Source organism: Homo sapiens, chromosome 11 (assembly GCF_000001405.40).
Source record: "Homo sapiens chromosome 11, GRCh38.p14 Primary Assembly".
NCBI lineage: Eukaryota > Metazoa > Chordata > Mammalia > Primates > Hominidae > Homo > Homo sapiens.
In genome coordinates, this window is record NC_000011.10 from 27483372 (window position 1) to 27511158 (window position 27787).

The 27787-nt window shown below is 39.5% G+C and overlaps 1 protein-coding gene, 1 long non-coding RNA gene and 1 pseudogene across 6 annotated transcripts in view, besides 3 other annotated features; 2 read left to right on the forward strand and 1 right to left on the reverse strand.

Annotated features, from left to right (window-relative positions):
• RPL37AP7 (ribosomal protein L37a pseudogene 7) lies at positions 448-1020 on the forward strand (annotated as a pseudogene).
• A 10026-nt stretch (positions 1021-11046) lies between these two features.
• LIN7C (lin-7 cell polarity scaffold C) lies at positions 11047-23398 on the reverse strand. The gene is made up of 5 exons (NM_018362.4): positions 23345-23398; positions 18431-18549; positions 18124-18195; positions 15988-16197; positions 11047-15433 (listed from the first exon to the last, which is right to left on the reverse strand). The coding sequence occupies exons 1-5, from the start codon at positions 23379-23381 to the stop codon at positions 15278-15280; spliced, it is 594 nt and encodes a 197-aa protein (NP_060832.1). The 5' UTR covers positions 23382-23398; the 3' UTR covers positions 11047-15277.
• Positions 22959-24158: an enhancer, noted in NCBI's record as "CDK7 strongly-dependent group 2 enhancer chr11:27527877-27529076 (GRCh37/hg19 assembly coordinates)". NCBI's record gives its function as "activates an origin of replication core promoter dependent on BRD2, BRD4, P300/CBP, MED14 and CDK7 cofactors, with strong dependence on CDK7, by STARR-seq in HCT116 cells {active_cell/tissue: HCT116}" and the evidence as "EXISTENCE:reporter gene assay evidence [ECO:0000049][PMID:35650434]".
• Positions 23315-23444: an enhancer, noted in NCBI's record as "active region_4544". NCBI's record gives its function as "activates an Ori minimal core promoter by ATAC-STARR-seq in GM12878 lymphoblastoid cells {active_cell/tissue: GM12878}" and the evidence as "EXISTENCE:reporter gene assay evidence [ECO:0000049][PMID:35858748]".
• The window catches only part of BDNF-AS (BDNF antisense RNA), a 191320-nt gene continuing 187013 nt past the window's right edge, over positions 23481-27787 (forward strand). For all 5 annotated transcript variants that reach the window (NR_033312.1, NR_033315.1, NR_033313.1 and 2 more), the window contains exon 1: positions 23481-23527. This is a non-coding gene — a long non-coding RNA (BDNF antisense RNA). The remainder of the gene's footprint in view (positions 23528-27787) is intronic.
• Positions 23515-23804: an enhancer, noted in NCBI's record as "active region_4545". NCBI's record gives its function as "activates an Ori minimal core promoter by ATAC-STARR-seq in GM12878 lymphoblastoid cells {active_cell/tissue: GM12878}" and the evidence as "EXISTENCE:reporter gene assay evidence [ECO:0000049][PMID:35858748]".

Genomic DNA, 27787 nt, shown 5'->3' on the forward strand with positions numbered 1-27787 from the left:
CCCAGGATATAAGGTACGACATGGAGCTCTCCTACAAGCAGTTTACAATTCAACTTTCAGAATGTAGAAACACAGGGTTAGAAAAGACATTAACGCTAGTTTAATTACCTTCCTAAGGCTTAAGAAGGCTGAACAGCATCCCTGCTATTCTTGGATACCTTAGAGTTGGCATATTCATACCTCCATGGGGAGTAGTCCATCTTTGGGCACTTCTGGCTGTTAGAAAGTTGTATTACGTTGTGACAAACTGTTTCTTCTTGATGCTTTAAAAATTAGAAATAAGGCTGGGTGTGGTGGCTTACGCCTGTAATCCCAGCACTTTGAGAAGCTGAGGCGGGAGGATTGCTTGAGCTCAGGAGTTCAAGACCAGCTTGGGCAACAGCGAGACCTCATCTCTACTTAAAAAAACAAACAAACAAACAAACAAACAAACAAAAAAACACATAGCTCTCTGGGCTTAGACTTAGTTTGCGGTGACATGGCCAAATGCACCAAGAAAGTCAGAATCATCAGTAAATATGGGACCCGCTATGGGGCCTCCCTCCGGAAAATGGTGAAGAAGAATTGAAATCACCCAGCACACCAAGTACATTTGCTCTTTCTGTGGCAAAACCAAGATGAAGAGATGAGCTACGGGGATCTGGCACTGTGGTTTCTGCATGAAGACAGTGGCTGGCAGTGCCTGGACCTACAATACCACTTCTGCTGTCACGGTAAAGTCGCCATCAGAAGACTGAAGGAATTCAAAGACCGGTAGACGCTCTTCTACTCTTTGAGACATCATTGGCCTATAATAAATGGGTTAATGTATGTAACAAAATTGCCTTGGCTTGTTAACTTTATTGGACATTCTGATGTTTGCATTGTGTTAATACTATCGTTTTGGAGAAGCATGCTGTGATGGATTATTTTAATTCAGTTTCTTTTTTTAGTAGTCAAATGATAAAATATGGCATAAGGATACAAGTCTTCCAAGTTAGATATATCTATTAGCTTTTTATAAGTCTGTTCCTACCAGTTTGATTTTGAGATACACTGGAGCAAACTGCAAACTTTAGTGTTTGTTAGTTTGTTTTTTGAGACGGAGTCTTGCTCTGTTGCCCAGTCTAGAGTGCAGTGGGGCGATCTCTGTTCACCACAACCTCCACCTCCTGGGTTCAGGCAATTCTCTGCCTCAGCCTCCCGAGTAGCTGGGATTACAGGTGCCCGCCACCATGCCCGGCTAATTTTTGTATTTTTAGTAGCGACAGGGTTTCACCATGTTGGCCAGGCTGCTCTTGAACTCCTGACCTCGTGATCTACCTGCCTCGGCCTCCCAAAGTGCAGGGATTACAGGTGTGAGCCACTGCACCTGGCAGTTTAGTTTTAAAATTACAGTTAATATTTAAAAAAAATGTTTTTAGGCTGGGCATGGTGACTCAGGCCTGTAATCCCAGCACTTTGGGCAGCCGAGGCAGGTGGATTACTTGAGGCCAGGAGTTTGAGACCAGCCTGGCCAACACAGCGAAACCCTGTCACTACTAAAAATACAAAAAATAGCTGGGTATGGTGGTGCATGCCTGTAATCTCAGCTATTTGGGAAGCTCAGGCACCAGAATCACTTGAACCCAGGAGGCAGAGGTTACAGTGAGCTGAGATCATGCCACTGCACTCCAGCCTGGGTGACGGAGACTCTTGTCTCCAAAAAAGTTTCTAAAGGTTTAGGATATACTAAATAATATACGTATACTGCCTCTTCTATTATACTTTTGGTGTTTTCTTTGACCTACACTGTATCAGCATTTTCAGGAAACAATATGAAACAATTATAATTTCCCATTAAATGTCTCTCTATATATGTATACATATGCATATATATATATAAAATGATAATTAGCAGGGTGTGGTGGCCTGCACCTATAGTCCCAGCTACTCAGGAGGCTGAGGTGGGAGGTCACGTGAGCCCGGGAGGTTGAGGTTACAGTGAGCCATGATGACACCATTGCACTCCAGCCTGGACGACAAAAAAAGACACTGTTTCCAAAAAAAAAAAAAAAATCCTCAGAAATAGAAGAAACTTTGGGGATATGTGCTAAATCCTCTCATTTAATAGTGTGAAATCAGACCCACAGAGGATAACCAAATTACCCAAGGCCACAACATACCTAGTTATAGACAGAACTGGAGCTAATATCTAGGTCAACTGCTCTTTCTACTCTGTACTCGGTTTAATTTTTATTTTAAATTTTCACGGAAAAGAACATTTTTGACAAGTTTATTGTCACACACAACAAGTTAATCGCAATGATTCCGATGGTCTCCAGTTTATTTAAAAGAAGCTGCCACATCCCCTATGAAATTACTTTTCTCAAACATCCTGTGAGGGGTGAAGACACGTAAGAGAAGCAAAGCCAAAGATAATTTCCAGTCATCTAAAGTTGTTTATATTTAGTAGAAGGACCGAAAAAGCAGTATTAAATACACCACCCCACCACCTTCCCAAACCTTTATACTAAGTGGTAGATGACTATTCATGTAGTTTGGTATTTTACATGTTTGTTTTATTTAGGGTTTATTTGGGAGGAGTTGTTTCTCCACATTTACAAAGCTTTGAATTTTATAAAATACATTTCAATTTAAATTTTGAATTAAAAAGAAAAGATGGAGTACATTTTAAATCTTTGGTCTGAGCTTCAGTTAGCAAGAACTGCTAGAAAATTCTAAAATAGAAACAATAGCACTTTGGCGTCACCTTGTGGTCAAATGTGAAAAGGTAGGAGAAAAGGATTATGCATATAGCATAATAAATTTGTGAGGAGTTATTTGTATTTACAGAAGGCAATGGGGGGAAAAGTGTGTGTGTGTGTGTATGTGTGTGTGTCTGTGTGATTAAGTCCTTCCCTCCTTAGCTTTAAAAGAAAAATATCATATTATAAATTCCAATACTGCCAATATTTGCAACAAAGGTTTAATTTTGTTTGCAGCCATTCTATTTTATAATTATGGATAGGTTCATGTGTTTGCCTGGATGCAGGGATACCATCCTTTCTAGCTTTTATCATGTGAGTGATCACTCCTACCCGCTTCCACCCTTGGTAAAATTGACTCCATGGGAGTGGAGTGGCATCTGACTGGTAATCTGAGAGGCAACAGGCCCTTATCCTAGCCACTCCTAGAGAGGGGGCAACCTCTGCCCCTGCGGGATGGGCACCATCAGAGTTCAGTCCCGACCATGCCCATTCCATGCCTGAAAATTGGCCAGACTGAGCCCCCCAGCCACAGGCTTCTCTGAGAAGTTTTCTCTGGCCAGTTTTCAGAATGCCCATTTTCTTCTCAGGCCTCAGGTACATGCCCCTGCCCAGCCTTGAGCAGAGTGTCAGCTCTGTGAGAGCAAGAGCTTTGTTTTGTTCTCCACAGAATTCCCAGCCCCTAACTGTGGCTGGCAAATAGTGGACATCCGACAAACATTTGTGGTCAGTATAAATTAATAAATAATAAAGCTCATATTCTGGCCCTCATCTGCCACTCATTTATTTCCTACTGTACCTAGAACCCAAGTGGGGAAGGGAGATACTCTTTATTGGTCCCTGTCAAAAACCCCGATTTCCCAGATAGTCCGAGAGTGGCTTCTTCAGTTCACGCCATTCAGGTCTCTTTAAATGTCATCTCAGATGTCCTTTCCTGTCCTATCAAAAATAACACCACAGTCTTCTTTCAAATTGTTTCTTCTGTGAACAAATATTGTTTACTATGTGGTAGGTGCTGTTCTCCGCTCTAAATACACAACAGAAAACTAAACAGGGGCCTGCCTGCCCTCAACAAGTTTATAATCTTGAGGAGGGAGTAGCCAAAATTGACAAATATATAGCAATAGAGGGCAAAGGAGGTTCCAGGTAGAGAGAACCGCAAGTGTGAAGGCCTGTCCTGTTGGAGACACTTGGAGACAGAGAGGGAAAAAGTGTATGAGTGAAGGCTGGGGAGGGAAGCAGAAGCTGGATTATGCAGGGCTTGGTGGGTCATAGAGAGGGGCTTGGGTTTCTATTCTAACTGGGCTGGGCAGCCAATGGATGTGTTAAGGATAACTGGTGGAAAGGGCTCACCAGCACACAGCAGGTGCTTTCAAGATAATGAGTGCTGGTTAGGTGCAGTGGCTCATGCCTGTAATCCCAGCACTTTGGGAGGCCAAGGCAGGCGGATCACCTGAGGTCAGGAGTTCAAGTCTAGCCTGGCCAACATGGCGAAACCCTGTGTCTACTAAAAATACAAAAATTAGTCAGGCATGGTGGTGCCTGTAATCCCAACTACTTGGGAGGCTGAGGGAGGGAGAATCACTTGAACCTGGGAGGCGGAGGTTGCACTGAGCTGAGATTGCGCCATTGCACCCCAGCCTGGGCGACAGAGGTCCAGAAATATGAGCTCAAAACTCTGTTTCAAAAAAAAAAAAAAAAAGGTAATGTGAGTGCTTAGTGATGACAAGCATAATGGGAAGTGCAGTTGGTGCTGTATGGAGGTTTTGACAAAAGCCACAATAAGCTGCTTAGACATGTTGAGCCCATGTCCCTGAGTCCACTCCAGACATACCCCAGTGTGAGAAGGGACTGTGGGATTTAGCTGGCACCTTGACAAGTGATTGAATTTCCGTGAGTCTAATTTTTTTTATTGCTCTCTAGCGCTCGTAGCCTGCTGGACTTTATAATACTTGTCACTACCTAAAATTACGTTATTTGTTCTCTTGTTCTTCTGCTTCTCCCACTAGAATATGTGTTCCTTATCAGGATTTTATCTTGTAGACTGCTATATCTTAACTACACTGTCCAGTACATAATAGATGCTCAATAAATACTGTTGAGTGAATGAATAAATGAATTAATTTTATGGTATGTACCCAGTAAAACAAGACTCAAAATCATGCTCATTTTATTGAAATGTATAAAACCATAGCTGATCACTTTCTTCTTCCAATTTTTCCCATTGTCATTTCTTCAGTTAGTTCCTTCCACCATCATTAACAGTTAATAGAATGCTATTTCATTATTTTTTAATGAAAAATTTATGTAGAAATGGGGTCTATGTTGCCCGGGCTGGTCTCCAAATCCTGGCCTCAAGCAATCCTCCCACCTCGGCCTCTGAAACTGTTGGGATTACAGGCGTGAGCCACTACACCCAACCTATTTTTTTTAAATTTTTTTTCCCCCTATGGAAATAATTCACTTAAATTGCTGCCATTTTCCGTAGAATTCATCTCTTAAAAATTTTTAATTGCTACAACATACGTATCATTTATAATTTTGTGATACAAAGTAACAATAGGTAGAAAATAATAGGTGGTATTTTCAATGTGCTAATGCTATTTAATGAAATAATACCTATATACTGGGGAAGAGATGCCAACTTAAAAATATCCAATTGAATATTGACATAATATACGAGTTAGATTCATACTCTGCTTTTTTTGTTGTTGTTCTTACAGGGCTCTAGATTAAAAAAAAAAAACCACAACAAATCCAACAAGAAACCTAAAAAAATAAAATAAAATGAATGAGAGAGAAAATCTTGCTAAAAGTGCAGTGTGGTATTGGGGGAAAATTATGGGTTTTGAAAATAAACTTGGGATTAGAATCTGGTCCATGAGTCAGTGTAAGTGTGTAATTATGAATAAACTATTTGGTGTTCCTGATTCTGTGAAACAGAATAACACCCATCTTATTGGGGGGTTATAAGGATTAGATGCAGTGCTTAGTAGATGCTTTATGAAAGGCAGCCATGCATGATTATCAATATTTCTGATATTTTAGAAAATACCCCCTTTGTGCATAAACTAGCTTATATGTCATTACATGATACAAAATAGTTCACATCAAACCAATTGCGTGTTAATGTTATTGCACTTTTAGAACAGGAATGGACTTTAAACTGGTCCCTGACCTTTTTGGCACCAGGGAATGGTTTTGTGGAAGATAATATTTTCCACCGGGGTTGCGGGGGAAGGCTGTGGTTCACAGGGAGATAGGGATGGTTTCAGGATGAAACTGTTCCACCTCAGATCATCAGGCATTAGATTCTCACAACAAGTGGGCAACCTAGGTCCCTTGCATACATGCGCAGTTCACAAGAAGGTTCACGCTCCTGTGAGAATCTAACGCCATCATTGCTGATCTGACAGGAGGCGGAGCTCAGGCGATAATGCTTGCTCTCCCGACACTCACCTCCTGGTGTGCAGCCTGCTTCCTAACAGATTTACCAGATCCTAGCAGATCTGCGGCATGGAGCTGGGGACCCCAGCTCTAGGACAAAGGTTTTCAAACTGTGCTCAGAGGAACTCCTGTCTGCAGCATGGGAAGGGGGGTTGAAGGGGACAGCCTTCTTGAACCAGCGTAGTTCTATATATTAGGCTTTGGCTGAAGAGAGGACTTTTCTAAGGAATAAAGAAATGAAACCAGATTGGAAACTACCAACCTCCCTTATTATACAATCAAGAAAATGAAGACTTAAGGATCATATGTTAATGGCATAATTGGAATGTAAGTCCAGTGTTTCTTCCACTACACTATGTCATTGCTGTTATTTTTTGAGACAGGGTCTCATTCTGTCACCCAGGATGGAGGGCAGTAGCACGATCAGGGCTCACTGCAGCCTCGAACTCCCAGGCTCAACTGATTCTCTGCCTCAGCCTCTCCAGTAGCTGGGACTACAGGTGTGCACCACCATGCCTGGCTAACTTTTGTATTTTTTGTAGAGACAGGGTTTCACCATGTTGCCCAGGCTGGTCCTCAACTTCTGGGCTCAAACGGTCTGCCTGCCTTGGCCTCTCAAAGTAGTGGGATTACAGGTGTGAGCCACTGTGTCCAGCCTTGTTATTTTTTATTTAAAATTACACAATAGACATTTTAAAAATTAGGTCTTGGTTAGCAGTACACAATTTTTCATTTAATTTTGGTTGTGGCAATACCCAAAGAAAATCTTTGTTCTATTTTTAAAAATTAGGTGTTACTGTACAAATTTTATCTACTATTAACATTAGTTGGAACAGTTTTACATAAAAGATGAAAGTAACCTTCATTGTTGTCCTCCACAAATGGTACTTGGCATGTTAATGGAGCAAGGTAATAAAAGATTGACAAGGGTATTGTCCCTATAGTATTTTGATCCTTTCTAGGACATCTAACATCAAGATCAGTTGATAAATACTGTGTCTACCTGATACACACATCATTGTGTTTATACAGTGCCAATATAAGTTATTGATCTACCTGTGGAATTATGGAAAGCCAGTCAATTCAACAAGGTATAACAAGACATCATACCGTTTTAGGCACTGTGTTAAGTAATGGGGGTACAGTCGTGTCCTTCTTGCTGTCATGCAACTTAAATTTTAATGGAAAAGACACAAGCATGTTAATATAAACAAGGTGTTGGTTGGGCACGGTGGCTGATGCCTGTAATCTCAGCACTTTGGCAGGCCGAGGTGGGTGGATCACCTGAGGTCAGGAGTTCGAGACCAGCCTGTCCAACATTGTGAAACCCCATCTCTACTAAAAATACAAAATTAGCTGGGCATCGTGGCATGTCTGTAATCTCAGCTACTTGAGAGGCTGAGGCAGGAAAATCTCTTGAACCCGGGAGGCGGAGGTTGCAGTGAGCTGGGATCATGCCATTGCACTCCAGCCTGGGAAACGAGCGAAACTGTCTCTCAAAAAAACAAAAACACCCCAAAAAACAAAAACGACAAGGTGTTGCCATGTTAAAGGATGAGGAATCAGCCTTTAGATGGTGAACTTAACAGGCAACGCAACTTTGGCTGACACCTGAATGAGGGGCAGCCAGTTAGTGGAAGAACCAGAGGGAAGCCTTCCAGCAAGGGAATAGGCTGTGGAGCAGAACAAGTAGGGCAGTGGACTGAGATGAGGCCTGAGAGGAAGTAGGGCAGGGATTATGCAGAACCTTTGAGGTCATGGCAAGGTATTTGGATTTTATCCTAAGTACAATGCAGAGTTTTAAAAAGGGAGCAACACAATTGGTTCTGGCTTAATTAATGCTTGGTACCAGGCCCATGGATCATAAGGAACCTGTACAAACCTTTACAGGCTGAATGTCCCATGTCAAAGACAAATCCTCATCTCACCCAGCTGGAGCAAGGACTGCTGCATAAACTACTCTCAGTGCTGAAGGAGACAATGCCCTGACGATACCAACTCCTGACGAGTCCTGGAGTTAAGACGCATCCATGCAGTAACTGACAACCTAAAGTGAAGAAACGGCTAGGTGCTTAGGTGCTCATGAGTCCAGGGGGCCAACGTGGAGGCACAAGCTCAGTTACACAGCTGCACAGGTATCCAAGGAAGCATTTCAACCACAGAAAGCAAAGAAACCAGCATTCTCCTCATCCCCAAGGGCCAGGAATCTCATCCTTTCTTAGCCAAAGCCACTTCTACTGGAATGTTTTTATCACACACTGGAGAACCCACATTTAATTTTGCTTCTGTACCCAGTTTTGGTAGTGATGCCGCTGAAAGGTGGATTCTCTCACATATTAATTTTCTAGGGCTGGCATAACAAAGTACCACAAACTGGGTGGCTTAAGTGAAAGTTAATTGTTTCACAGTTCTGGAGGCTGTTAAGTCCAAGATCAAAGTGTCAGGAGACTTGGTTCCTTCTAAGTGTGAGGGAGAATTTGGTCTATGCCTTTCTTCTTGCTTCTGGTAGTTTGTTGGTAATCTTCAATATTTCTTGATTTGTAGAAGCATCACCCCAATCTTTGCCTTCATCTACCCATGGTGTTCTCCCTGGGTGTGCGTCTGTGTTCAAATCTCTCCCAACTTTTCAAAAAATATGGACACTAGCCATACTGAATTAGGGCCCACCCTAATGACCTCATTTTAATTGGATTACCTCTGTAAAGATCTTATCTCCAAATGAGGTCACATTCTGAGGTACTGGGGGTTAGGACTCCAACCTATCTTAGGGGAACACAGTTCAACCCATAACACTGTAAAACACAAAGGTTAGATATCATTTAAAGTCTGGGCTCAAAATTATGTCATTTAAGAGATACCAGTAATAACTTCCTACTTCATGGTTTTATTGCATTTCTTTGCCAAATAAAAAACAAACACAAAATTAGTTTTGGGTTTTTAATACCCTCTGATGAAATGAATTACTTTCAGTAACTGCCATATACAGGAAACTTACCTGCTGCAGGGGCTAAAATTTCTATCCCTATTGGTTAGAATGAGAAATCATCCACACTTTCTTACCTAGAGACAAACTTTAAAAACACCAAATCTTTTTTTTTTTTTTTTTTTTTGAGATGGGGGTCTCACTCTGTTGCACAGGCTGGAGTGTAGTGATGCTATCTCGGTTCAGTGCAATCTCTGCCTCCGGGGCTCAAGCAATTCTCATGAAAGCCTCAGCTTCCCCAGTAGCTAGGACTACAGGGACGTGCCACCACACCCAGCTAATTTTTGTACTTTTATTTATTGACTGATTGATTGAGACAAGAGTCTCATTCTGTCACCTAGGCTGGAGTGCAGTGGTGAAATCTTAGCTCACTGCAACCTCTGGCTCCTGGGTTCAAGCAATTCTCCTGCCTCAGCCTCCCAAGTAGCTGGGATTACAGGAACATGCCACCATGCACCGCTAATTTTTGTATTTTTAGTAGAGATGAGGTTTCGCCATGTTGGCCAGGCTGGTCTTGAACTCCTGCCCTCAAGCGATCCACCCTCCTCGGCCTCCCAAAGTGCTGGGATTTATAGGTGTGCGCCACTATGCTGGGCCTCAATTTTTGTATTTTTAGTAGAGACGGGGTTTTGCCATGTTGCCCAGGCTGGTCTCAAACTCCTGGGCTCAAGCGATCCACCTGCCTCGGCCTCCCAGAGTGCTGGGATTACAGGCCTCCCAGAGTGCTGGGATTACAGGTGTGAGCCACTGCACCTGGCCCCAAAACACCAAATCTTGATGTTTGGTGATTTTAAATATACATACTGTGGTGTCCAAATAGACCCTGTCTCAAAAAAAAAAAAAAAGATTTGGTGTTTTTAAAGTTGTCTCTAGGTAAGAAAGTGTGGATGATTTCTCATTCTAACCAATAGGTATTGTTCATGAGAATTAGGAGAGGCCTTACATATACCTTGTTAAAATGAAGTATTTGTCCCTTTAAAATTTAAAATTCAAAAAATAAAATTGACAAATGGGTTCTGTATGAATTTACCTTTTGCCCTGTATATAAAGTAAATCTTCAAGATTCCATCAGGGAGATTATCTGCCACTAATAAGTAAACGTACAAAATATGGGTCAGCAATTCATTATAGTAAAATCAGAATAATCAAAATAGTGAATATAACAAAACCCGAATAGAAAAATTTAGTGAATGGATACTCTGGTCTACTAAAGTTTTGAAAAAAACTGAGTCCTAACACTAAATGCTTTTTGTTGTTCCTCGGCTGTGTGGCACATTTCCACACTTTTTTAAAGTTAATGGTGGTGATGCCTTGGACTGTCTAACACCTAGTCCAGTAGTCTCCTGTCTCTATGCCTAGGTCATCACCTTAAAGGTTAATTTAACAAATCCTTACTTGGACTTATTTTCCAATGATTTTCATTAGAATATGGCTTCAATCCTCAAAGCTCCAATTTAAAAATTCCGAGTTTCTTTGATCAAAATATAAATTTGATAATTTCTTATGAATCTTATTCTTCTAAAGTTTTTAAGCATAAAGGTTGTTTTCTAAATACCAAAAATAAAAACTTGCTAATTTTAATTTTTTGACCAGAATTATTTCCTTTAGCTCATAAGGTTCTGAAGCTATTTTACATGAACAAAAGCAAACACAAACAGTATTTACTATGCCAGGCACCTTTTTAAGGGCCTTACAGAAAATGGCATGACACTTACAGGCATTCTTATTAACAAATGACAGGTGAGGGAACTAAGGCACAAAGAAATCAAGCAACCTGTCTAAGGTGACACACGGTAATGGTGGAACTGGGATTGAAACCAGAGTTGTTTGGCTTCAGAATCTGTGCTCTCAATCACGTCATACTGCCGCTCTTGAAATAACACAAGAAAATGTTTTCTTTAAATTTTATGAAAGACAAAGCAAAATATAGAAATTCAAAGTTTCATTTCAGCAGCCACCAGGAATTATGTTTTTTTATACATACCTTTCATAAACGTTATCTATTGTGTAGTTATATCAACTTTTTTCAAATCCAAAGAACGAGGACATAACTCATACAAATTTATTTTAAATAAGCCTTAAAATCAGAATTAAATTGATAAATGAAGTAATCTATTGAAAAATGTTATTTTACATCCATTCTGGGTATTACCACAAATTTTAAAAGTAGAAGCATAGCATTTGCCAGTTATTTTAAAAAACCGAGTCAATACAAATTAGTCTCAAAGTTCTTGAAAATTAATAAGTGATTTTTCTCACTACTTAACCATACCTGGAATAACCTTTGAAGAAACACTACTAGCAAACTTTAGACAACAATTATAAAACCAGATTGTTGGCAGAGGACACAACAAAATGTAAGTTAGAAAATTCATAAACATACATTTATTCAGGAAATACAATTACTAGAATCCTTGATATTTCAATGATCATTCCACATTATAAAATATTCACAAACATGTAGTTTTTTAAGTCTACACCAGGTCATGCTGACATTCTTTTTGGATAAGCCATAACCATTTCTTCTATTAAATGCTATAATATCCATTTTAATTGTAAACAAAGTACTTGAGCCAGACTACTTAAGTACTTGAGCAAAATAACTTAAAAAAATCTTAAGAGGAGGAGGACAATGATATTTTTTAAAAACATATTTGAGGCTGGGCATGGTGGCTCACGCCAGTAATTCCAGCACTTTGGGAGGCCGAGGCGGGCGAATCACGAGGTCAGGAGATCGAGATCATCCTGGCTAACACGGTGAAACCCCGTCTCTACTAAAAATACAAAAAAATTAGCCGGGAGAGGTGGCACACGCCTGTAGTCCTAGCTACTCGGGAGGCTGAGGCAGGAGAATTGCTTGAACTGCCTTGAGGTGGCGGAGGCTGAAGTGAGCCGAGATCACACCACTGCACGCCAGCCTGGGCAACAGAGCAAGACTCTGTCTCAAAAAAAAACAAAAACAAAAAACAAAAAAAAAATTTGAATCGTCAAATCCTAAAGAACTAGGCTGCTATTATCTAGTATTATACTAACAAATGAAGTGCCCACATTAAGACAGTACATAATTATTAACGACAATATTTCTCATCTGCAATTTTTAAACATGCTTTCTCAAATAACAAACACGTATTTTTGTAAGTTTTAAAGGCAAAGGGGGCAGAATGATGACAGACATAAAAAGCTCACATTTAAATTACTGGTAGATTTTATTAAAAAAAAGAAAAAAGAAAAAAAAAGATAAGACTGTAATTACTTCCCAAATAAGGAATGCCAAGTACCTTTTATTCCTAAAAGAAATTACTTGGCCAGGTGCAGTGGCTCACGCCTATAATCCTAATGCTTTGGGAGGCTGAGGTGGAAGCCAAGGAGTTTCAGGCTGCAGTGAGCTATGATCACACCACTGTGTTCCAGCCTGGGAGACAAAGCAAGATCCTGTCTCTTTTAAAACAAAAAACAAACAAACCAAAAAAAAAACAAAAAAAAAACCTAAGAAATGTAATTAATCATTAAGTAGCTGCAAATTGAACTGTTCTATTTTGATACTTCCTAAGAGTGTCCAGTGTAATCAGATCATTTTATAATGGGTTATTGACCCTAGGTGTCCTTTAGAACCACCTGGAAAGCTTTACAAAAAAAAAAAAAAGGGTGATTTTGATTTAGTTGTTATGGAATAGGACCCAGGTATCAATTTTTTAAAGCTCTGCCAGGCTAATATGTAGCTAAGATTGAGAATCACTAAGTCAACACATTTTGATATATCAAGAAAATAAATGGAAATGGGGGTGATAATTTATATTTGTAATTTACAAATCAAACATCTATCATACACTTACTATGTACCTAGTTTTATTCACGAATCATCCATTTCTAAGATAAAAATTCCCATCATTTCCTCACTGCACTAAACCACCACTGTACATCTTTGCCAATGAATGACTGTATTTTTCTATGGTCAAGATTTAAAATTCTGGGATACATTATGAAAACTGCATTAATGAAAACAACCTACTGCTATTCATGCTCAACAGTAGCAAGCTAAACTACTGTACTTGGCTCCTTTGAGCTACCCTTATTTTAAGAATTATAAATAGGTGTCAACCCACACAAAGAACAGATTGTGGATTACCGTAGGGAAAAAAATAGCTTACTCAACTTACTAAAAGTTTCAACACCAAAAAAGATTTAACTTGGCTGAAAGTTCTGAAACAGCTGAGACACAGAACCAGGAAGCTATAATTTATAATGAAATGTTGATACATACTTAAAAGCTACTGCAGCTGTAGCTATACTAAAATAAGATTTCTTCAGGGTTTACTTACCCTGAAATGCAAGAATACAAGCATAACAATAATATTACTGTTTTTATATGCACCAATACCTCTCTTTAATATATAAAGCTCTACAACAAATACCTCTAATAATTTTACAATTAAATTAAGTCCATACTTCTATACTACTTTGGTCTCAACATTTTTAAAACATCAATTAATTTTGAAAATTTACAATTTAACAACATGATCCTATCAATAACAAGCACATTTTGTAGTGGATTAAAGACACATTCAACCATGCAATCCAGTGTTCAATACCTTAATGATAAATAACAATGCTGATTGACTTTTATTTTGAAAAATCATTGAAAACTGGAATAATCATCTGAGACTCACAGTGATCACAAACATGCAGAAAAAAGCATACAATTCTATTCTTCCTGAAGGAATGTTACAAAATGCCCACTTTTTTATATAGGGTCAATATGCCAAATTACTTATATTTTTCAATCCATCATCTTCTAACATTTGTCACTTAAATTTTTCTTAAAGTACAAATGTTCCTGTAAGTTGTAACAGAAAATGAACCCCAACTCTTTCAGTCTTTAAGACCTCAGTCACAGTCCCACACTAATAGCTGCCTTTTAGTAAAATAGTGACATCCAGTGGACAAATGAAATATTTCTCAAATTCCCATATTTGAATCATAAACAAAAGTTGCCTCTTTAAATCCAACAATTTTAGTATGAGTTCCTACTTATTTTGATGGAATCTACAGATTCTCATGAATACTTCACATCATAATTTCTATGTATCTTAAATATATCCTCTTTTCTTCCTATTTAAAATCAATTATTTAAATTGAGCTAGTAAGAATGTCTACTCTTGAAGCTAGTGAGGTTAAAGGTATTACTTTTCCTTCTTTGCTTCAGCTACTTCCCACCACCAAATAACTGGTTTGTCTCTAGGAATGGAAGGACTAAAATATAGGGGAAATACTGTGCATTTAAATAAAAATGAATAGTATTTAAAAGAAATCACAAAAGATGAAATCTGAACCTGTTTTGCATTTATAATTTGATGTACGGTTGAACATAAATAGGGATGTAATAAGTAATGCTATCAATTACATCCTCTTGCCTCAATGCTCAAATATTAAGAATATGTATTTTAGCAATGATTGTTTCAGTGTTTAAAAACTTACTTTCATAAATCAGTATAAATGAATATCCATTATATATTATGTTTAAGTAAAAGTGAAAAAACTTGCACTGTACTGAGTCATGATTTACCACTGGTTATATATATTATGTGTGTGTTCAAAGTACAAAATGCAGCAATGATGTTAACATTGACAGTGTAATGAACTGCCGTAGATGAGACTGTTATGCTTAATTTCTTGGAAAACTGTAAAGAAATTTCACAGGTTAAAAAAAATAGAGTAAGCAAAAAAAAAGAATTGGAGAACTTTACTTTTAAATCAGCAGCTAAATGAAGAAAACTTTTCCTTTCTAAAAAAAGATTAAGAATGTAAAAGTACATTTTAATATTAAAAAAGCATTTTAAAAAATCTATAACAACTTTATGACAAAATCTGCATTTGAAAAAGGCCTGTAAAAACAGTAGGACAGAATTGCCCTCATCACCTTTTACTTTTTCTTGTCAGAAAAAAGTGTATGCATCTCTGGAACCATAAATGATGTTAAAATAGGCATTTATAAAATGACAAGGAGAATTTCATGATAAATTTGTTTGTTTTCTTACAATCATTGGCATTGCAGCCATTAGTAAGTCACAAGGAAAACTTCTCTAGCTAAAACGCAAAATGAAATATCAAGTTTTGAAATGTATTAGGTCTGTTGCCTGCGTTTTGCTGATCTCATTTTTTCAAAGCGCGACTCCATTTCTTCTAAGACTTTGGGTGTGTATCGTACCACTAATTTAACCTTTCCTTGTGCGGCTTTCAGCAGTTCTACAGCTTTTTCATGATGTTCTCCTTCAACACTCTAGGGGAAAAAAAAACAACCAACCATACACTAATATCTAAGTTTTGAAAGTAACTCAAAATGCAAAAATGTTTACAATATATATAATGAAGAAAAGTTTTAATGTTATATTATTCCAACATTACAAAACTAAGAAATAATCCTGCCTTACCATTTTAATCTATATGAAATCCTCTCTTACATCATATTCTGTTTATAGTCTAAAAGCTGGCTTTTAAGTTCCAAATAATTAGCATATTAATCTATATGCCTTATTATTTCAGTAGATCAAGCAATTGGCATTTTATAAGAGTAAAATGAGGGTAGACTTCTAATTTAATGTATTGCCTTTAATAAAGAGCTTATGTCATAAAAATGACATTAAGCACTGCTAATTTACACTGCAAAATACACTTATAGTGCTTAAAAAAAAGGATCACTGTATTAATAGTACTGCCTAGGATTCCCTCAAGGCATTTCTAAACCACAAGTTTCTTAGGTTTCTCCTATTACTCAAATACGCCCCCAGGTGGTCACAACAGATCACTACAAATAGAAATAAAATTCATCCTTACCACTCCATTAACAGAGAGGAGTTGATCTCCACGTTTGAGGCCCCCATGTCTATCAGCAATTCCACCTGGAATTATTCGGGATATATAGATTGGAGAGTTTTGTTCTTTGCCTCCCATAATATTGAATCCAAGGCCCTCTTCTGTTTTTGGTAGCTCAACAACTCGAGGATGAGAATGTCCTTCACTGGCAGCAAATGCAGCAACAGTAGCCTGAAAGAAAGTTTTACATATTAAAAATATGACTTTTATTTACTTCAGTTCTTTCATCTTTTGTTTCCCCCCGAGATGGAGTCTCGCTCTGTCGCACAGGCTGGAGTGCAGTGGCGTGATCTTGGCTCACTGCAAGCTCCACCTCCTGGCTTCACGCCATTCTCCTGCCTCAGCCTCCTGAGTAGCTGAGACTACAGGCGCCTGCCACCACGCCCGGCTAATTTTTTTGTATTTTTTTTTAGTAGAGATGGGGTTTCACCACATTAGCCAGGATGGTCTCGATCTCCTGACCTCGTGATCCGCCCGCCTTGGCCTCCCAAAGTGCTGGGATTACAGGCGTGAGCCACTGCGCCTGGCCTCTTTTGTCTCTTTTTAAAAACTACTTTTGAGCACGTATTTTTGACGTCTGAATGCTCACAAATTCACTGGTGATTCTGAGAAGGTAAGCTAAACAGAAGGTATTTTAGAGACGACAAATGAATAATTTCGAGTTATGCAGGAAATGTTACGATTTTTTGTTATGATTTTTTAGGTCATTCCTAGCCCATTCAGTGCCCACTCTTTTGTGCAGTCCTGTATGCGCAGGGCTTGGCAAGCAGACTTACTGGGCAGACTGATATTGTACATGGTAAGGAGGAAAACCCCTTCCCCAGCATGCTAGCAGCCCTGGGCTTTAGATCTGGATCTCCCAACTCCTTCAGGAGCCTTTGTGCAGGACACAACCTACCTATATAATCAACATGGAGTTGCCCTTATATGTAATCATTTTGGCTTCTGTACTATTTGTACTATATACTAAATATCTAAGATGTCAAGAAATAACTCAATATTGAGAAAAAGAGAGGTACATATAGCCAATCTGAATGTTTTGTTGCTTTAGTTAACTAGACACAACTAAAAATCCCCACAGAAGATGAAACAGAGCCGTATCTTCTTTAAAGCTCAACTTTAGACTAATCCAAACTAATTATAAAGTTGAGATTTTGTTTCACTTTGCTTTAAAGGGTAATTATCTAGTACCATTTTTTTGTGATGGATCACAAAAATGGGGAGGAGGAAAGAAATCAAGATTTACTGAACACCCGTTATCTTTGAAGAAATCAAGATTTACTGAATACCCGTTATCTTCGAAGCTCTGAAAAAGGCCTCATTTTTCAGATAATGGAATTAAGGCTCAGAAATTCAGTAGGCTATCAAACTCACACAACTCAGCAATTAAAACCATGTTTCTCTGGTCTTTTCTACACTGATAAACTATATCCACATGTTTAAGTATTTGTATTCAACAAAGAATCCACCATTTCCTTTTGTGAGCCAGTAACTATCCATAAAAAACTATCTGCTGATGATTAATTTAAGTCACCGACTGCTGATATTACCCTGTTCAAACCCCCTATCATGAATAGTGAGGTCAATACCTAAATTATTTGAGGAAAACAATGGCACAGAAATGCAGATAATGTAAAGAAGAAAGCAAAAATCAACTCGGGGAAGTACCCCAGCTCTATCATATGCTATTTGTGTGGTTTGCGGCAAATCACCTCATGCTTCCTCATCAATAAGATGAGGATAGTAATTCATATCTTAAAATTCTGATTAGATTTTGTATAATGAATATTATATAGTATCATATATATAACATATACAACACAATTATATATTGCATGATACATATTGTATGCAAGTACATTTCTATTGCATTATCTAAACTGCATGATAAAATAGCTTATGTAAGCTATTTATCATGCAGCATTTATGTAAAGGCAATAGAAACAAATGTCTTATTTCTTAGTACTTGAGAAATTTGGTGTAGCTTGAAAGATACATGTTAGTCTTCAAAGTAAGTTTATTATGAATTTAATAACTCCATATTTTAAACTTCTAATTTATGAAGAATTCTTACTTTTGGAAAACAAAAAAATTTACCTTTGCAGTAGCGTTCGCTCTCACTTCAGGACTGCTACTGATGTCCACAGTCTCATAGACATGTTCATATACCTGTAAAAGCCAAAGTTATATCTCAGAATATACCATGCTTGAGTTCTCTGTGAAGTTAAAATTTCAGGCAAAGTTATGCATCTTTATAAAATGGTTTTATCAGAAATTCCAAAAATGAGAGGGACTGGTTTTAATGTTTTCTAAAGTTTTTCTTAAGAAATGTTGAACCCAAATTTAGAGTATTATCTGACCTAATTAACTCAAATTTTTGTAAATTTTAATGATGTTTACTCACCTCTCTCACAGCATTGCAGAATTCACTTTGAAGGACTCTTTGCAAAGCCTGAAGTTTCTGTGGTGGTACTTCTCCACTCCTTTGTAGTTTTTCCAATAATTCAATTGCTCTACAAATATCTAGAGTTAAACACACACACAGATAATTTTCTCCAAGGGTTTTCTCAATGCCTATGTAACAGTGGGGCAGTTAGGATTCATTCCTCAAGGGCAAATAATATACAGACAATCGAGGGGAAAAAAAGCATTGAATTTGCACATTTGGTGGGAAGGAGACTGTGTGTGTGTACACACATGGAGGGTGAGAATGTAAAATGTAAGAACACTAAATTTTACAGTAGATAGGAAAAACTACTGAGATTACAGAAGCATAAAATAAGACCTTGGAGAAACACAGGCAAATTGAACACAAAATACCAAATGTCATCGGAAAGGACTGTGACTCAAATGTGACCGATACATGAACATTGTACTGCTTCAGAAAAGCTAGCAATATTGTCAGAAACTAGTCAATAAAAATTTACCTAATTATTATTAGTAACCAAAGCACTGAACAGTACAAGGCACTATAAGCTAGTAAAATCACTGGTCATTCCTCGAAAGAAACATGATACATAGGTAGATAACCACTCGAGAGCAGATGCAGTTAGTGGCAGGGACACATTTAAAACAACCATAAAAATGCAAAAAACAAGCAGTACAAATGAAATAAACTGATTTTTTTTCAACTTAATTAACACTGTTAATTCAAACAAGCTCCAACACTTATGTTTACAAAAAAGAAAAATAAAAACAATTAGCTTTATCAATCTGGTCTCAATACCACCTGTGTGACCTTGGGCAAGTTACATGATGTCCTTATGTCTCAGTTTCTTTCACTGTACAATGGAAATAACAGTACCTTCCATATAAGGGTTATGAGGAAGAGTTATGAGTTCAGTTAACAACTGAACCACAAAATACATAAAAAAGGGCTTAGCAAGCAAAAGTGTTATGTTACATTGGTACCAATTAATCATAAGAAATATTGGCTGGGAATAGTGGCTTATGCCTGTAATCCCAGCACTTTGGGAGGCCGAGGCGGGTGGATCACCTGAGGTCAAGAGTTCAAGACCAGCCTGGCCAACATGGTGAAACCCCAACTCTACTAAAAAAAATACAAAAATTAGCCAGGCATGGTGGCGGGTGCCTGTAATCCCAGCTACTTGGGAGGCCGAGGCAGGAGAAGCGCTTGATCCCAGGAGGTGGAGGTTGCAGTGAGCTGAGATTGTGCCACTGCACTCCAGCCTGGGTGACAAGAGTGAAACTCCATCTACAAAAAACCAAACAAAACAAAAACAAACAAACAAACAAAAAAAACCCTAAGAGGTTGTATACATTTATACAAATGTATGAAGCACATTAGGGAATTCTCACTGAGAAGTGTGAGGATAAGTGTTTTATGAATTGAGACATTTTAGAAGATTCAGGAAGTCAGCTATAACACTGTTAACTATCTCTACTTTTATTTTTCCAAAAACTGTTTTGGTATACTGTTTTTGTACCCCTGGTACTACAATGCCCAGTATTCTATTATTGCTTTGCTTCCTTTTGACTTAAGTAGAAGTTCCTGATTTCGTTACACTCAAGGACTGGAAATTTTTCTTTATAGAGTTAGTATGGCCTTCTTCGTGTTTGCAGATAGAAAACTATGAATAAATGTAGTAAAGAAAGATATTTATTTATTTATTTGAGATGGAGTCTCACTCTGTTGCCCAGGCTGGAGTGCAGTGGCGCAATCTCCACTCACTGCAACCTCTGCCTCCCAGGTTCAAGCAAGTCTCCTGCCTCAGCCTCCTGAGTAGCTGGGATTACAGGAGTCCACCACCATGCTCGGCTAATTTTTGTATTTTTAGTAGAGACAGGGTTTCACCCTGTTGGTCAGGCTGGCCTCAAACTCCTGACTTCATGATCCACCCACCTCAGCTTCCCAAGGTGCTGGGATTACAGGCTTGGGCCATCACACCTGGCAGAAAGATTATTTATTTATTTATTTGAGATGGAGTCTCCCTCTGTTGCTGAGGCTGGGGTGCAGTGGTACGATCTTGGCTCACTGCAACCTCTGCCTCCAGGGTTCAAGTGATTCTCGTGCCTCAGTCTCCCGAGTAGCTGGGACTACAGGTACCTGCCACCAGGCCCAGCTAATTTTTGTATTTTTAGTAGAGACAGGGTTTCACCATGTTGGCCAGGCTAGTCTCAAACTCCTGACCTCAAGTGATCTGCTTGCCTCGGCCTCCCAAAGTGCTGGGATTACAGGCGTGAGCCACTGCGCCTGGCCAGAAAGCAGATTTTTAAATTTGAGGTAAAGAAAGCTTAAACTTAAAAAGTTAATCAAATGCAATGGAAGCAAATAGACCTTCACCATTCTGATTTCCCATCACCAGAATGACCGATACATGGGGACTGTTGGTTCATCAATTATTTTGATTTATAAAGTTATAATATATAAGCCATATAAAAATTTCCAGTGAAGAAAAAAATGGAAAAAAGTAAAATGCTTTTGACTAAATCTAAAATGTACCTACTATGTGCTCAAATTTGTGTTTCATTAAATCATAGTTTGATGATTTAGAAGGCACTCTAAATCATCATATGTGATCAGGCACTGTATTGTAATTGTACTGTAGGATTTTCTACTTTAGGATCGTTGGGAGTGTTTGTTAATAGAGTCTGTTAGAATTCTAAACAAGAATCAGAGGTGATGTAATCTGACTTTCTTACCCTGCTAAATGGCAACCACTAGTACAGCTGTCTTGGTAACAGTGGGGGATTCATTAGGACCTTCTTCAGATACCACAGATATCAAGATCTGCAGATGCTCAAGTCTCTGATATAAAATGATATAGTATTGGCATAAAACCTATGCATATCCCCCCTCTATACTTTAAATAATCTCTAGATTACTTACAATATCTGACGCTACGTAAACAGTTGTTATATCACATTGTTTAGGGAATAAGGACAAGAAAAAAATGTCTGTACATGTTCTATACAGACACGATTTTTTTCTGAGTATTTTCAATCTGCAGTTGGTTGAAATATGGAACCCATGGATATGGAGGGCTGACTGTAATTCATCCTACTAAGAGGTGGAGTCTTCTACTGAAGAACAGAAAAGAAATCTGTAACAGCAAAAAACAAAGCCAAGACTATCAAAACTAAATGCCACAGAAGTTCCACATTTTGTGTTGCATTTAAAAATACAAAGACCGGCCGGGTGCAGTGGCTCACGCCTGTAATCCTAGCACTTTGGGAAGCCGAGGCGGGCGGACTTCCTAAGCTCAAGAGTTCGAGACCAGCCTGGGCAACACGGTGAAACCCCGTCTCTACTAAAATACAAAAAACAGCCGGGTTTGGCGGCGTTCGCCTGCAGTCCCAGCTACTCGGGAGGCTGAGGCAGGAGAATTGCTTGAACCCGGGAGGCAGAGGTTGCAGTGAGCCGAGATCGCGCCACTGCACTCCAGCCTGGGCGACAGAGCAAGACTACGTCTCCAAACAGCAACAACAAAAACACAAAAGACCAATACGTTAGAATCTTAACTAGCTTTCAAAGAAAAAACTTACTCCTGTTAACACCAAACAGATTTGCTCCCATCTATAAAACACAGTGCCACTGTGCTCAAGAGGAAGATGTCAGAGACTTAGGCCTAACTCGGCAAGTCTTCCCAGAGTAGCTAGTCCTCTAAAATGATGCTTTAATAGGCTTAACGGAAACAATCTCATTTACAGTGAGGCTTCCAAATGGTGAACACGGTAAAGAGCAAATCAGCAACATTAAGTGCACATTTGTTTGTGGGAAGGCATTAGGAAAGAGGTTTTTCTAAGTACAGTAATTCTAAAAATGTGTTTTCTTAGGGAACAATAGTAATATTTAGACTAATTGCAAATGTTAATATGTGCAATATAATTTCAGTCTCCATCCTACATATACATTTTTTTTTACCACCAGTACTCAAAATGTTTATTTGTACTTCTCAATTCCTATCAATGATTTCTAATGCTGGTGTATGAAAAGCATGCTTGAAATTGTTTGAAATAAAGGACTTAGGGACAGAGTGGAATGCTGGAAATCTGTAAAAGGACTGGAAACGCTGGAATGCTGGAAATCATGGTAGGCGCATAGCCAGTTATTTTCGTAGGCTTCTCTATCTCTAATTACTCAGCAGAGGTGGTTTTATTTTCCTTGACAGTCTGCTCTAGGAAGCAATCAGCCAACCAGTTTGCAATTGTAGGGTTTGTAAGAAATGAAAAACACTGCACCTGCAAGTGTTTTAGCATCTACCACTATTCGGCTTACTTACGTAACCTCCTTCCCAAGACCAAGTCAGTAGGATTGTTTTTAAAGCAACCTCTCCATTTCTAGGAGGGGCACAAAAGCTAGCAAATACCCCAACCCGAATACAAGCGAGGTTGTGGAGAAAGTAATGAAGGAGTTTGTGTGCAAACAGCGGGGAAAGGAGGTTCTGTTGAATTGTACCGTGTGTCCGTTCTCGTGCTGTACAGGCAATGAGTGTAGTCTGTGCGAACCGGGTGTGTGACGTTTGCTTTTCGGGTGTACGGGTCTCCGAATGCTGCTTCTGCTGTGCTCACCAAGGGAGCGCGTGTGCGGCGTGTGTCTGCGAAGCGGGCAGGTTGTGTTTAGTTGTGCTGTGCCTTGGAACAGTCCGTGTGAACAGAGGAGGGCTTACGGTTAACAGACAAAATACCGTAAGCGCCCTTCCTAGAGCCAGGCACAGAGACAACGGCGGCCTCTGGCGCCGGCACAAGGGACAGCGTGGCCCGGATCTCAGAGCCTGGGTCACTCCTCCTCCCCTCCAGCGACACAGCACTCCCCCAACCCTTCCGCCCACCTCCGCCGAGCCTCGGCTGCACTCACCTCTCTCCAGCCGCACGGGTTCCCCTAGCGCCGCCATCTTCTCCCTTAACCTACAGACCCACAGGAAATGACGACAGAAGGGCTGAGGTGGGGGGGCGGGGCCTAGGGGAAGCCGGAAAAGTGAGTACCGGCTAGTATCGCGAGATCAGGAAGGTGGCCGAGTGTGTCGCCGCGGCCATCAGGGTAAGGGTACCTGGACTTGCGGCTTTTTAGGTCGGCCTGGCTCCGCTCCTTCCGCGGTGACGAGGTCCCCCGGCCTCCTAGGGTTGGGAAGAGCTGCTTTCCTGACTCTCGTTCCCTGCCTCAGGCTTCCCTTATCCCAATCGCTTCGAACCCTTGGCTCAGCGTAGAGGAGTCAAGCCTGGATTCTAGTCCCACCTTGCCCATTAGCAGCTCTGTGACCTGGGACTGTTCACTTACCCTCTCTCAGCCTCAGTTTCCGCATCTGTACAACGAGAGGTCCTATCTCTTAGGTCCTTACAATTTTTAAACTCTGGGATTCGGTGGCAATTAAATGTGTAATGACATGTTGTCAGTTCTCAATTTGTGACAGCATTGCTTTAAATTTAAAAATCCACGGCTTGAATCTTCCCTCCAAATCTGTTAAGGGGTGGAAAGTACAAAGAGCATGAAACATATCTGGGTGAGGGAGAGAACAAGGTGCTTTGGTGCACCACAAAGTAACAATTTTATAAGCAGCTGATTCTTATAAAATCTTAAGTAAATGAAATATTGTGAAGCAAATAATATTCTTAATGCATTACAGATTTTTGAGCCACTTCTGAAATTTTCGCGAACCAAGAAGAATTTTAGTACTTGGATTTGACTAACATTTATCCAAGCCCTTAGTCTGTACTGATACTGTGGTAGGTGTGTTTACATCCAGCATTTCAACACTTCATGATGGGACTGTTTTAATAACCTGTTTGCCCCTGGTCCACCCTTTCCATTCACCTTTAGTATTTTCTTCTCCAAATCCATCATGGATGCCACCACTATGCTCCTTTTTCTCCCCTTGAATTCTGATTTCATCATCACAAGTTCTGTTCAGAAACTTTCAATGGTTTCTCTCCTGTTTCCTATTTCTAAAGCCTTGCATACTCTGACCCTAACTCATCCAACTAACTTCATTTCTCATTACCACTAAGTGCAACCACCACTTCAGTCCAGATAGTATAGTTTCAACCATATTTATTCCTGATTCCAAGTCTTTTTGTTTGTTTTAGAGACAGAGTTTCTCTCTGTTGTCCAGACTGGAGTGCAGTGGTGCAATCACAGCTCAAGAGAGCCTCCTGTCTCAGTCTTGCCAGTAGCGAGGACTACAGGCAAGCACCACCATGCCTGGCAAATTTTTAAATTTTTAGTAGAGATGGGGGTCTTGCTATGTTGCCCAGGCTGGTCTCAAACTCCTGAGCTCAAGCAGTCCTCCTGCTTTGGCCTCCCGAAGTGCTGGGATTACAGGCGTGGGCCACTGTGCCAGGCTCCAAATCTTCATTTGTGTTGTTCTTGTGTGGAATGCCCTTCTTCATCCCTTCCTAGTCTCCAAACTTTGTACACACTCAGTTGAACCCATTTCGTGGGTCCCTGCTGAAGGCATGCCACTTCTACCAAGCCTTTTCTCCATATTATTCCCCTTTTTTGTCCTCTGATGGCCTAAATACGTTGCAGTAACACTCAGGTGCTTATCTCTTACTCGTTGTCATTTTTTTTTGCTGCAAATGTGTTCAAGAAATGTTTATTAAACACCTAATATATACCAGGTGCCTTGATAGGAATACCAGGTAGAGCAAGACAAATGCAAACATTGCCCTTATTTCTTCAAATATTTTTTCTTTCCATTCTCTTGCTCCTCTCCTTTGGTGTGACTATTGGAGTCATGTGCATGTACATAATATACATGTATATTGAACTAACTGGCATTGTCTCACAGCTCAGTGACGCTCTGTTCATTTTTTTTTCAAGATTTTCTTTATGTTTCCTTTTGGATAATTGCTATGTTTTCATATTCATTAATCTTTTTTCAATATCTAATATTGAAATCCTGTCCAGTTCATTCTTCATATAAAACATTGTAGTTGTTGCCTCTACCAGTTTGATTTGGGTGTGGGTGTGTGTCTTACATCTTTTATGTCTTAACATGCTCAACTTTTCTGCAGCTTCTTAAACACATAGACTACAATTATAATGACAGTTTTAATATCCTTGTCTACTAATTCTATGATCTATGCTATTTCTGGCATAGTTTCTATTGATTGATTTTTCTCTTCATTACAGTTCATAATTTCCTGCTTCTTGCATGCCTGGAAATTTTTTTTTTTTTAACAAGATGCTAGACTTTGTAAAATTTACTTACTTGAAAAACAATTTTGTTCTTTTGGGTTTTGATTTTTTTTAGGTGGAACCAATTCAGTCATTTATGTAGGGTTAATTGTATCCCACTACTAAGACAGTACCCTTCAAAGTTCCTTACCCCATACCCAAAGTGAATTATGTGGTTTTTCTACTTTGGTAGGAACGGGAACTATTCTTAGGAACTGAGTTTGTGGACTTTTTTTTTGCTCTTTTCCTTTCCCTGTCTGGTAATTTATTTCTTCTTCTTTCTTCCTTCTCCTTCTTCTTCTTCTTTCTTCTTCTTCTTCAGATGGAGTCTTGCTCTGTCACCCAGGCTGGAATGCAGTGACGCAGTCTCGGCTCACTGCAGCCTCTGCCTCCTGGGTTCAAGTGATTCTCATGCGTCAGCCACCCGAGTAGCTAGGTTTACAGGCACCTGCCACCGCACCCTGCTAATTTTTGTATTTTTCGTAGAGATGGGATTTCACCATGTTTGGCTAGCTGGCCTCAAACTCTTGTCCTCAAGTGATTCACCCACCTTGATTTCCCAAAGTGCTGGATTACAGGCGTGAGCCGCCACACCCGGGTGGATGTTTAACACATGTAATCATCATAAAATTTCAGAATCCTAGGAATAGATAGAAGATCCTAGAAGTTTCCAGAGAGGATAAAAAATTATATTCTAAGGATTGGAAATCAGAACAAGATTGTACTTCTCCTCAGCAGCACTGGAAGCTAAGACACAGAGAGCAACTAAATTTTTAGAAAAAATTATTTGCAAACTAGAATTCTATATCCAACTGTATTAGGTTTCTAGGGCTGCCATAACAAGATACAACAAACTGGGTGACTTAAAACAATAGATAGTCACTGTCTCACACTTCTGGAGGCGAGAAATCAGAAGCCAAGATGTCATGTGCTCTCTGAAAGTGTAGAGGATTCCTTCCTTGTCTCTTCCTAGCTTTCTGGTAGTTTGCTGGCAGGCTTTGGTGTTCCTTGGTCTGCAACTGTATTACTTCAATCTCTGTTGTCATTATCACATGGCGTCTTCCCTTGTGTTATCTGTTGTCAGCTGGAAATCATCTTACAAGAACTTCCTATTTCGGTGTGACCTTACCCTAAATTAGTTGCATCATCAGTGACCTCATTTCCATATAAAGTCACATTTTGGGGTTCTGGGAGTTAGAACTTTAATTTTTTTTTTGAAGGGAAGAGATACAGTTCACCCCGTAACACCAACCAGAGTATCAATCAGGTGTGAAGGAATAATGAAAAATATTTTACACATGTAAGTTCTAAAAATTGTTAACCTTCCATACATACTTTCTCAAGAGCTACTAGAAAATGTGCTCCATCAATAGTAGGAAGTGAGCCAAGCCAAGTACAGTAGCTCATACCTGTAGTTCAAACAACTCAGAAGGCTGAGGTGGGAGAATCACTTGAGCCCAGGAGTTTGAGGCTGCAGTGAGCTATGATTGTGCCACTGCACTCCAGCCTGGGTGACAGAGTGAGATCCCATCTTTAAGAAAAAAAGTTAGCTGGCCAGGGCTGGTGGCTCATGCCTGTAATCCCAGCACTTCGGGAGGCTGAGACATGTTTATCACTTGAGGTCAGGAGTTTGAACCCAGCCTGGCCAACATTGCGAAACTCCATCTCTACTAAAAATACAAAAATTAGCCAGGGGTGGTAATCCCAGCCCCTCGGGAGGCTGAGGCAGGAGAATCACTTGAACCCGGGAGGTGCAGTGAGCCAAGATTGCGCCACTGCACTCCAGCCTGGGCAACAGTGCAAGAATCTGTCTCAAAAAAAAAAAAAAAAAAAGTTAGCCAGTAAAGGTATGTGTAATCCAAGAAAAAGAGGATCCAATATAGAGGAGATTAAGGTGATTTCAAAATGATTAGTGTATCAGGGTGCCTCACAGAAACAGAACCAATAGAATATATTTAGATATATAGAAAGGATTTATTATGATGGATTGGCTCAGGAGACTACAGAAGCCAAGAAATCCCATAATTTGCTGTCTTCAAGTGGGAGACCCAGAAAAGATGCTTTAGTTCCAGTCCAAGCATGAAGAACCAAGGCCTGAGAACCAGAAGAGCCTCTGGTGTAAGT

What these genes read in the sequence shown, in the direction of transcription:
- LIN7C (NM_018362.4), bottom strand. Translation starts at nt 23,381, where the DNA reads ATGGCGGCGCTAGGGGAACCCGTGCGGCTGGAGAGAG. An exon ending in GAGCGAACGCTACTGCAAAG is followed by an intron (nt 16,198 to 18,123) that starts GTAAATTTTTTT and finishes ACTTTCTTTCAG; the next exon opens with GCTACTGTTGCTGCATTTGC. An exon ending in TCCTCTCTGTTAATGGAGTG is followed by an intron (nt 15,434 to 15,987) that starts GTAAGGATGAAT and finishes TTTTTCCCCTAG; the next exon opens with AGTGTTGAAGGAGAACATCA.